The sequence below is a fragment of the Homo sapiens genome, chromosome 3 (genome assembly GCF_000001405.40).
Source record: "Homo sapiens chromosome 3, GRCh38.p14 Primary Assembly".
Classification (NCBI taxonomy): Eukaryota; Metazoa; Chordata; class Mammalia; order Primates; family Hominidae; genus Homo; species Homo sapiens.
The window spans coordinates 98,208,892-98,221,401 of NC_000003.12; positions in this window are offsets into that span (position 1 = coordinate 98,208,892).

Here is a 12,510-nt window from a genome sequence, read left to right on the forward strand (position 1 = left end):
ATGCAATGAGGACAAAATGAGAAGTGTTTAACAGTGAAGGCACTGCCAGTGTGCAAGAAGGCAAGAGAGTGCTGTTAACTCTGTGTGCTTGTATGAGTAAGAAGAGGCACGCAGCCTCTAACTTTCTAAGATCGCTTCTAAGGGACTTAGCAGCTGTGATAGTGTTTTCAGACAATCTGAAAAGCTTCCCTAAATCGGAAAATTAAATGAATATACAGAACTTAGTTTGAAGTAGTCATAGAAAAGGAAAGACAAATGGCATAGTAGGAAGAAAAGGGTCTTCATTTTCCTAGAAAAAATAAATGAAGCTACTAAGATTTTAAAAGTCAGTGATGTTACAAGGTTATTGGAATGTGTTCTTGACAACCAGGGGCTTTAAATTTTTATCACCAAAGTTCAAAGAATTTTAAGATGACACGACATCATAGTGTCCAGTGATTTGGAAGAAAAACATGAAAAATGAGGAAGAGTTTGGATATTTTCTGCTTCAAAAAGCCCTTGTTACCTTTCTTTTCACTTCATACTCTTGAAGTATATGAGTCATCCATCTACCATTCCACTCTGCCCTTTATCTTTTGACACTGAAATTCATTTCACTTTGTCACTGATACCAAGGCCCTTACCCTAAAAATTACTCACAGGTTGTTTTGAAAACCTCTAGTTATTTCCTCCATCCTTCTAGCACTCATTTATTCCCCCATTTTGCTGTCAGATTGTTTTTTCAATTCTTTCAATTTTTTTTTGTTGGATCGTCATTGCTACCTGATTATATATGTATATGTGTTTTAGATGTCAATATATGTATACATATGCTTATGTATACATGAGAGGAGAGAAAGGCTTTTGTTGACTTAATGTGGAAGTAAGGCAAAAAGAAACTCTTTTGCTTAAAGTGGAGCAGTAGCATTATTTGGATTATTCCAGTAGAAAGTTCCTACTTAGAGGCTAGTTGATGATTTCAGATTGGTTAAAGTAAACTTTTGTTAAGAACCTACCATCAGAGTGAACAGGCAACTACAGAATGGGAGAAAATCTTTGCAATCTATTCATCTGACAAAGGGCTAATATCCAGAATCTACAAGGAATTTAAACAAATTTACAAGACAACCCTATCAAAATGTGGGTGAAGGATATGAACAGACACTTCTCAAAAGAAGACATTTATGTGACCCACAAACATATGAAAAAAAGCTCATCATCATTGGGCGTTAGAGAAATGCAAATCAAAACCACAATGTGATACCATGTCACACCAGTTAGAATGGCGATCATTAAAAAGTCAGGAAACCACAGATGCTGGAGAGGATGCGGAGAAATGGGAACACTTTTATACTGTTGGTGAGAATGTAATTAGTTAACCATTGTGGAAGACAGTGTGGTGATTCCTCAAGGATCTGAAACCAGAAATACCATCTGACCATCAGTCCCATTATTGATTACATACCCAAAGACTTATTTATCATTCTGTTATAAAGACACATGAAGACGTATGTTTATTGCAGCAGTATTCACAATAGCAAGCACTTGGAACCAACCCAAAGTCCCATCAAGTATAGACTGGATAAAGAAAATGTGGCACATATACACCATGGAATACTATGCAGCCATAAAAAAGAATGAGTTCATGTCCTTTGCAGGGACAAGGATGAAGCTGGAAACCACCATTATCAGCAAACTAACACAGGAACAGAAAACCAAACACCGCATGCTCTCACTCTGTCAGGAGGTGGAGGGAAGGGGAGGGAGAGCATTAGGACAAACACCTAATGCATGCAGGGCTTAAAACCTAGATGACGGGTTGATGGATGCAGCAAACCACAATGGTACATGTATAACTTTGTAACAACCTGCATGATCTGCACATGTATCCCAGAACTTAAAGTATAAAGAAAAAGAAAAAGTTAATTTTTGTTTTACCATTTACAATGAGTTGGGTTTCTGTGTGCTTACGTAGAAACCCACTTTGCTGGAGCCACCTCAGCCTAATGTTCAATTTTATTATAGAATAAATTATTACTCAAATATATTATTTACTATTTTCTCCCTTTTGTTTCACTTCTCAATTATAGGATATTGGTGGGATATTATGGGAATTATGGGATATGGGATATTGACCAATACTCAGATACACGAGCACTTTCTCACCACCAGAGCTTGTTGTCTTTGTCTCAGCATAAGTTACAATTTCTAGTCTCTTAAAGCAGTGTTTCTTTTATTGGACACTTTGTTTATGCCATTTTAATCTTATGGAGAAAATCTGGTAACTGTGACGGCTATGAATTTGCATTTCAGACTCTTGAGAAAATACAGCATACCAGGAAGGTTACAATGATGACCCTCACGAGGAAAATATCAAGGGACTTGGAATTACTCCACAGCCAAAGTGCCCATGAATGAAATAAAACAAATAAAAAGTTAATGGCTATAGGCCTGGTGTGGTGGCTCACGGCTCTAATCCCACCACTTTGGGAGACTGAGGTGGGTGGACCACTTGAGGTCAGGAGTTCCAGAACAGCCTGGCCAACATGGTGAAACCTGTCTCTACTAAAAATACAAAAAAATTAGCCTGGGGTGGTGGCAGGCACCTGTGATCCCAGCTACTTGTGAGGCTGAGGCAGATGAATCGCTTGAACCCAGGAGGCCGAGGTTGCAGTGATGGTGCTACTGCACTCCAGCCTGGGCAAGAGAGCGAGACTCTGTCTCAGGAAAAAAAAAAAAAAAAAAAAAGGTTAATGGTTATAACAATCTGTGAACTTAGTGTCTGAGCCCAAAGGGCAGTTAGTTGAGAAGATTTTTAGATTTTAAGCTCAAAGCATCTTTTGATGATGGAATAAAATGGCAGTTGCAATCTGTTGATTTTTCTGTTTTGTAGTCTCAGTGTCTCTGATTATGTTATTGGATATTTTGGTGAGCTTTTTAGCAGCCCACTCAGCTGCATGTATGAAGATTGTCCTCTGAAGTTTATATCAAGTTTTCCACACCAAGCTCACAGGGCTTCATGAAAAAGACAATTTATAGGTAGATAATAAAACTCAAAGATAACAGACAGAAGTTGAATTTAATAGCGGATGCACTATAATTTTCTACTGAAATATATTTTGGGTTATTAATTTGGCAGATCATCAGCTTCCCAATGTAGCTTTTGTTTTGTAACTAGGTTAATGAGTTGAAGGTGGATCCCACTGATGAATAGGACAAGTATTTTCTATGCTGAACTCAACATGAATTGACCAGAATGTTTTACAAATCATACTTCTAATCTTGCCTTATAGTCAGAGATTAGTTCCTCCCATTTTGTTTATAAGATTACGTATCAGACCAGTGAGTTTTTAAAGAAATACTTGGGGAATGGATTCTAGAGGATTATTTGTTATTTTCCCACCCTGTTTTATTCCTTTTCTGGAAGATTGAGGGGTTGGATCTTTGCTATCTATCTTAGGTGCCTCACATTTGGCTTCAGCTACTGGAGTTTCAGCTGCAGTTTGAATGAGGAGGACAATTTTACAAATTTACATGGGGTTGGCTTCTGAAGGGAACCTAGATCTTTGGCCTTATTAAAATCATGTTTTGACCAGCTCTGATGAGACTATACTAATCACAGCATTCAGAGCATCCTATTTTATGTACAAACTAAAGTTTGCATATAATGTCTGAAGTGTTATGTGTTGTGGATAATAGTAGCATAAAGTGTAATTTCAATTGTTAAAACCCAAACTGGGTATGGTGACTTAATGTCTATGTTTCTAAACTCTGCAGTACCCTGTAGGATAATCTGTATTTCTCATACACATCTAAATCCATGATGCCCAGTTGAAGTTCTTCACTTTGTCCTCTACTTCTTTCTTTCCTGGTGAAAATGGAGATATAATATTGGTCAACACTTGTTGCGGGAAGTCAGGGACCCCAAAAAGAGGGATCGGCTGAAGCCATGACAGAAGAACGTGGATTGTGAAGATTTTATGGACATTTATTAGTTCCCCAAATTAATACTTTTGTAATTTCTTATGCCTGTCTTTACTGCAATCTCTAAACATAAGTTGTGAAGATTTCATGGACACTTATCACTTCCCCAATCAATACCCTTGTGATTTCCTATGCCTGTCTTTACTTTAATCTCTGAATCCTGTCAGCCGAGGAGGATGTATGTCACCTCAGGACCATGTGATAATTGCATTAACTGCACAAATTGTACAGCATGTGTGCTTGAGCAATATGAAATCTGAGCACCTTGAAAAAAGAACAGGATAACAGCAGTTGTTCAGGGAATAAGAGAGATAACCTTAAATTCTGACTGCTGGTGAGCCAGGCAGAATAGAGCTGTATTTCTCTTCTTTCAAAAGCAAATGGGAGAAATATCACTGAATTCTTTTTCTCAGCATAGAACTTCCCTGAGAAAGAGAATGCACACCTGCGGGTGGGTCTCTACACTGGTCCCCCCGGGGGTGTGGCCATCTCTTAGGGTCCAGTCTGCAGAGATGAAATAAGCTCCAGTCTCCCATAGTGCTCCCAGGCTTATTAGGAAGAGGAAATTCCCACGTAATAAATTTTGGTCAGACCAGTTTATCTCAAAACCCTGTCCCTGATAAGATGTTATCAATGACAATGGTGCCCGAAGCTTCATTAGCAATTTTAATCTCGCCTCGGTCCTGTGGTCCTGTGATCTCGCCCTGCCTCCACTTGCCTTGTGATATTCTATTACCCTGTTAAGCACTTGATATCTGTCACTTACAGCTATTCACACACTCCCTCCCCTTTTGAAAATCTCTAATAAAAACTTGCTGGTTTTTGCTGCTTGTGGGGCATCACGGATCCTACCAACGTGTGATGTCGCCCAGCTTTAAAATTTCTCTCTTTTGTACTCCGTCCCTTTATTTCTCAAGCCAGCTGATGCTTAGGAAAAATAGAAAAGAGCCTACGTGATTATCGGGGCAGGTCCCCCGATGAACACTTGTGTTGAAAGCAAAGTTTTATAAACAATATTTTTCTGAGTTTGGAAATGAAGCCTCCAAAATGCATCAGTGTGCAAAGATGTGCTGCCTGTGTTATTATCAGATATGCTCTATTATGTATTTTTCTCTGCTTTAGAAAGCCTAATACTTTTAAAGGATCTCTGTAATTTCTTTCTATATTAGTAAGAGGAAAATTATTTTATCATATCCATTATTATTTTTAAAGAAATTTTAAAAGGCTATTTAATATATAATAATTTTGTATTTGGTTTACAGCATGCCAAGATTGCTGGGAACAAAAAGAGTGAAGAATCTTGATATCTCATTATTATGTCTAAAATCTTGAAAACCAAAACACCTATTAAAATAAATTTTAAAATGATAATTTATTATCTTTTTAACCTGACTATAATGATGTTATAAATTCTGGCTAATTAAAATTTTTAAAGCTGGGTTTAAATCTTCAATTCACTCTGATTGTTACATAAGAAACTTTTCTGATGGTTGTTATGTAGTTTCATTCTGTATAATCACATTCTGCAATGAAAAATTTATGATCCGTCAATTAAATATTTTTTCCTCTATACTTTCACCACTTCTCTCCATAATTTCATTGATTATTTCTTATATATGGTGTATAAATTATAAATAATTAAATCCATAGAAATACCCATTTTTCATATTCATTTTAGATACACATGGTAATACTAGCAATAGTTATAGTATATGTATATCTATGCATATATCTCAGAAAATATGCAGAAAATGTACTTCCCTAAACTTATTAGCATTTACGATTTTAAAAGCACCTTGAAACAACTTGAATTTTAGAGTTGTTCATTATTTTGTAATTTGAGATTTCAGGGAAGGATTGCATGAGATTGTCTATTAAAAATTTACAAGTAGAATTACTGTCCTTTATTTATTACAATGTTTGTATTAGGATCCAGTCTTTGTTTTGGTTGATTCTGCTAAAAATAATCAAAGAAAAAAACTGACAGAGAAGAAAGTGTTCTTAAAGTCAGCAACATTTCTTGAGAAATTTAGTTTTAATCACTGTAATAGCAAAGATAAAGCAACATTTAAATACGGAGTAAACTTTCAGAAAATGCTGATATATTCATGAACAGTGGAAAATTTATGGGGGAAAATTATACTCAAAGTCTCTTTATCATACACAAATTGCATAGGAAAATGAACTTTGAAATTTTTTTTAAAGAAAATGAAAAGACTCTCAGAGCTCTCTGTGGCATTCATGAACACCAGAGTTAATGCACAGGTTCAACACAAGCTTCTGAGCTCGTCCCTCTATTTTGCCTTAGTGCATCTATGATACTTCCTCTCTCCCTGTTTTGTGGCTTGTCTTTTTACACCTACCCACCTATGACTTCATTATTCTCTGCCTATTTTTCTTCCTCATTCTTGTTGTACTTCACCCACCCACACAAATTTCCCTTTCCCCTTTTTCTATCCTTTATCTCCTCTCGACATCATCTTCTCCTGTTCTCTCAATTGTCTATCTTTACTTTTGAGAACTCTTCTTAAATCTTCCACAGGCGGAAAAATATTAAATTACTCTGTGACCAGTAACACATGCCAACTGTTTTCTACATGTCTTAGAGGACTCTATCACATTCCTTCACTGCTGCTTGTCTCCCATTCACTTCTTATTTGCAGACCATTACTCTATTACATATAGGAAACGGTTCTCACTAAAGCCACTAAAAATCACTTAATTTAATTTAATTTTTGTTTTGTTATGCTTTTTGAGATGGAATCTTGCTCTGTTGCCCAGGCTGGAGTGCAGTGGCATGATCTCAGTTCATCGCAACCTCTACCTCCTGGGTTCAAGAGATTCTCCTTCCCCAGCCTCCCGAGTAGCTGGGATCACAGCTGCCCACCACCATGCCTGGCTAATTTTTCTTTTCTTTTTTTAAATATTTTTAGTAGCGATGAGATTTCACCATGTTGGCCAGGCTGGTCTTGAACTCCTGACCACAGGTGATCTGCCCACCTCAGCCTCCCAGAGTGCTGGAATTACAGTAGTAAGCCACTGTGCCTGGAAAAAAAAAATCACACAAAAAATCACTTAATTTCTATATGCAGTGATTTCCTTTCACTCCTTGTCCTACTAGAGCATTTAGTTTGTCATTTTCCCCTGTACTTCACTGCATCACACTTCACATCTTCCCTCTCTCTTTATGTCCACAACATTCAGCTTTTTAGTTCCCTCCCACTTCTTCCCTTCAACACTCTGCTCAGTATCCTTTTCTCTTGTCTCCCTGGTCTCTCTTTTGAAAATCCCAGGGCTTTGGGTTGCAACAGGAAGTAAGTTATTGAATTGATATTTACCACTGAAATCACAGTGAAGTTGGAGAAGTCAGCTGGACAGTATGGCAGCAACAGGAGGAAGCAAAACAGCCAGTCAGCAGCCAAAATCTTATTCTGATAGCAGCTTCATGAGGGTGGTTGTTTCTGCTTCTGTGCTTCCAATGACACAGCTTACATTTTCAATGGCATTGTTCTAGATGCAGGATGCACATGATAGGATCTTGATATTTTTGCTTCAACTGACTTTGCACTATTTTTTTCTTTATTCGTGTGCATTTGTCTCCATCTATCTCCAAATCTTGGATGGGTTTGGTTGGAAAATCTAGGTGAAATTCTTTGTCTGCCACAGTCATGTAGCAGAAAAGTGTTCCAGATTTTATCCATCTCATGAATGACCTTTTTACATAACCTTTTTACATAACTTTCTCAAGTTGTTTTTTCATTTTTTACAAACAAAATCAATATTTTTTTCAGATATGAAAGTTACATATGCAGGTTTGCTACATGTGCATATTGGAAGCCGGTAGTGACCATAGTACCCAATAGGTAGTTTTTCAAACCATTACTCCACCCTCCTCTCACCACGCTGTTAGTCTGCAGTACCTATTATTCCCATGTTTATTTCCATTTGTGCTCAATGTTTATCTCTAAGTTATAAGTGAGAACATGCGTCATTTGGTTTTCTGTTCCTGAATTAGGATTAAACCTGCTTAGGATTATGGCCTCTAGCTGCATCCATGCTGTTGCAAAGGACATGATTTTATTTTCTTTACAGCTGCATACTATTTTATGGTGTGTATTTACCCCATTTTTTAATCCAATTAACCACTGGTGAATGGCAAGTTTCATTCCATGTCTTGCTATTTTGAATAGCATGGCAATGAATATATGAGTGCATGTATCTTAATAAATAAAACAGCATGTTCCTGGTACAAAAACAGACACATAGACCAATGGAAAAGAGTAGAAAATTCAGAAATTAATCCATGCACTTACAACCATCTGATCTTCAACAAGCAATAGAGAAAGGATCCCCTATTCAATAAATGGTCCTGGGACAACTGGCTAGACATATGCAGAAGTAAAAAGTGGATCCTTACCTTTCACCATATAAAAAATTAACTTGAGATAAACTAATATTTAAATGTAAGACCTCAAATTATAAAAATCATACAAGAAAGCCTAGAAAATATTCTTCTTGACATTAGATTTGGTAAATATTTTTTGGCTATGTTCCCAAAAGCAACTACGATAAAAACAAAAACTGAAAAATGGGTCCTAATTAAACTAAAGAGCTTCTGGACAACAAAAGGAACTATCAACAGAGTATACAAACAACCAAGAGAATGGCAGAAATTATTCACAAACTATGCATCTAACAATTTGCTAATATTTGTAATCTATCTATAAGGAACTTAAATCCACAAGAAAGAAACAGATAAACCCATTAATAATAGGGCAAGGAACATGAACAAATGTTTCTTGAAAGAAGAGACACAAATGGTCAACAAACAATGAAAAAATGCTCATCATCGGTAGTCATCAGAGAAATGCAAATCAAAACCAGAATGAGACACCATCTCACACTAGTCAGAATGGCTTTTTTAAAAGTAAAAAACCAACAGATGCCAGAAAGGCTGTGGAGAAAAGAGAGTGTTTATACACTGTTGGTGGGAAGGTGTATTAATTAGTTCAGCCACTGTGATTAGCAGTCTATAGATTTCTCAAAGTAGTTAAAAAAGAGCTATCGTTTAACCCAGCAATCCAATTACTGCATATATACCAAAAGATAATTAGATCATTACACCACCAAGCGTTTTTGTTTGTGCTCTGTTTCTCTTTCTTCCTGTTCTCTAGAATAGGTAAAACATCCATAACTATGGCTTCTGACTTGCAAATTATTTTTTCTATTGCTCTAGTAGAATTATATTACTAATACTAAACAGTTCACCTATATGTTCAAAGCATGCTCACACTACACACTTGTCAATGCATCTGAGTCCTCAGTCTGTATTTTGGATGACAAACTGCCCACTCACGAAGTGACTCCTTTTTTCCTTCACTGAAATTACTTTCCAATCAAATATGTGACTAAGTCCCAGTGGTGCTACATTCTGAATGCTTCAGCATCTATTTCTGAATTCTCCTCATTGTTGCCAACATTATATTACACAGGGATGAGGCAATTTAATTTAATTTTGTGTCATGTCAATATCTATCTCTGTATATTAAGCTGCTTAGTCCAGTCTTCAGAAGAGTTTTCAGTGACTCCTTTATTATCTATGTAGTATTTTCCCACTTCTTTGTCTCTTTCTAGAAAAATCCTATGAAAACAGATAATTGATTTACATGTCTACCAAGCAAATATGCCCTTTGCATACCAACTAGCTTAACATCCATGATCTAAGTTATATTTTTTCTTTAAGGAGTCCTTTTACAGCCAAAAAATTTACATGGACTATTTAAATATGAAATATGAATATTTCAAATAAGTATATTACGTTTTATTTCCTAATGGATGCTCATTAACGTTACTCTATATGTACTCCAAAGAAAAATCTGAACATGTTACCACCATTTTCAAAATCCTTCAATAGTTTTTTTCTGTAAATTGAACTACACTCCAAGGTTCGTTTAAAGTTTTCCCATACTGGCCTCACTGAACACATCTGACCCTTCTCTGCTTCTCTGTTTGCATACCAGTCACATTTATCATTTATTGTTTCTCCATGATCAAGTATCTCTGATAATCTAGGTCCTCCCATGATGAAGGCCTGTTGGATGCAAATGTCCACAGTCATCACTGTGTTAGAAATAAAGGCTCCTGAATGACTCACGCCAGAACTACTAAAACAGAGTCTGCATTTTTGACAACATCACTAGGAAAGTCATAGGCATTATAGTTTGAGCAGCACAGATATAGGACACCTTACAGTGTGGTGTCTGTGTTTTTCGATTTGCTCTCCTGTTGAACTATGCCTAATAAAGTTTCCCATGAGATTTTAGCTTACAACAGGGGAACAAGGTTTATGTCAAAAATTTGAGCTGTAATTTGCATGGGGAAGACAACCGTATTTGGGTTTGGCTCCTGAGGGAATCAGAGACTTTGGCCTTGTTAAAATTATGTTTTGATTACTTCGGAGGAGACCATCCTAATCAAAACACTAAGAGTAGATTTCATATGTGAACTAAAACTTGCACAAACATGCCAGAAGTGCCACCTGTGGTGGTAAATAGTGGCATAAGTACTATGTCAATTGTTAAAACTGGAAGTGTCTACATTGAAATGATGGTTATGATTCCAGAATTTGTACTGCCATTTGAGACAACCTGCACTTCTCATACATGACCAAATCCACCGTGCTCACTAGAACAGCATCGATTTGTCCTACAGGGAGTCTTCTGGCACTCTTATGAGAATTTTGGTTTTTCTGCTCCTTCATCTTCTGGCAAAAGTACAGAGTTGTACTACTGAATGATTCTATGTTCAATTCAAATTTATATTAACAACATTTTCCTGAGAATGGGAAAAGAAACATCCAAAAAGAATGAATATGCCATGAATTGTTGGCATTCCTGTGTTGTTATATTTTATTTCTGTTTTAGAAAGCCTAATGTTTTTTATTTTTAATTTTTTTTTTTTTTTTACAGAGTCTCACTCTGTCACCCAGGCTGCAGTGTAATGGTGCTATCTTGGCTCACTGCAACCTCTGGCTCCCAGGTTCAAAAGATTCTCCTGCCTCAGCCTCCCGAGTAGCTGGGATTATCAGGCGCACACCACCACACCCGGCTAATTTTGTATTTTTAGTAGAGATGGGGTTTCACCATGTTGACCAGGCTGGTCTTGAACTCCTGACCTCTGGTGATCTACCCGCCTTGGCCTCCCAAAGTGCTGGGATTAGAGGCGTGAGCCACTGCACCTGGCCAGAGAGCCTAATAGTTTTAAAGGATCTCCACAATTTCTTTCAAAATATGGGTAAGGAAGAAATAATTTCTATAATTTTCATTATGCTTCATAGAAATGTTAAAAGTGTTATTTATTTCATTATAATTTTACATTGGGTACACAATCTGTCTAAATAACCAGGTTGAAATTAGACAACAAATATTGGGTTATCTTTATATTTTAGTTTCATGACTATAATATGGATAGGGTAAATAGTTATAAGACTAAATTGTTATTTTGATGATATTTTAGTATTTTGTTAACGTTATAATGATTTTATAAGATAACTTCTGGTGAACTAGTACGTTAAATAATTAGAACTGGGTTTAAGGATTCAGATCATAATGATTCTTAGAATTATTTCTAAATTTTCTGATACAAATACCCATTCTTTTACTTAATTACATCCTCTGATTAAAGCTTTTAAGGTGAGTCACTTACATATTAACCCTTGTAAACTTATACCCATTTTAACAATAATTTGACAGCTCACACTGTAAATGTTTTTACTGTGGATGAAAGATGCGTTAGGTGGAGTCCTAGTATTTCTGCCTTGGCTGACTTTGCAAAGAAAATCTGCCTTTGTTCCTAAACTATTTTCTCCCTCTTTCTCCATATTCCAAATGTAGCATGAGTGTGTTTCATTGGCCATCCTAGATCATGTCTCTTCACTCTAGAAGCAAGAAGAATGGGAAAATGAGTTTCTAGTTCTTTGGCTTTTAGAACAGTAGGTAACCTCTGACAGCCGCCAAGACTTGGGTGGCAAAAAAGAGGATCAGCTTTTGGCCATCTTCTAAAGGATGCATATCCACTTTGTTACCTCTTTTAATATAATTTCCTTAAGTTTATTTTCTTGTCATTCTTTTTTTTACTTGTCTAATCTCCAATGGATACATCATTTTTAACTATGTCTTTGACTACCACAATGATTCCAAGTAATTATTTCTATGAAGCTATAGTAGGTTCACATTACTGATTGGATGTCACCTAATTGGTCACATGATGCTCACTCCAAAACTTGCCAGCGCAACTGAGTTCCCATCCTCAATATTTAATGACCACTTACCCAGTCACCAAGTGACTCTTCCCTCCTTCATTAACCACTTTTTTTTCTCACCAAATATGTCACAGAATACTAGGGACTCTACATTCTGAATTCTTTTGAATCTATTTCTTTGACTTACCATCTCCTCCAATGACATCACATGGACTAGACCCTTAATATGCTTTTGAATCGCTTTGAGGGTATTTTCAAAATGCAGATCCCTAGACTCTGTTTCTGAA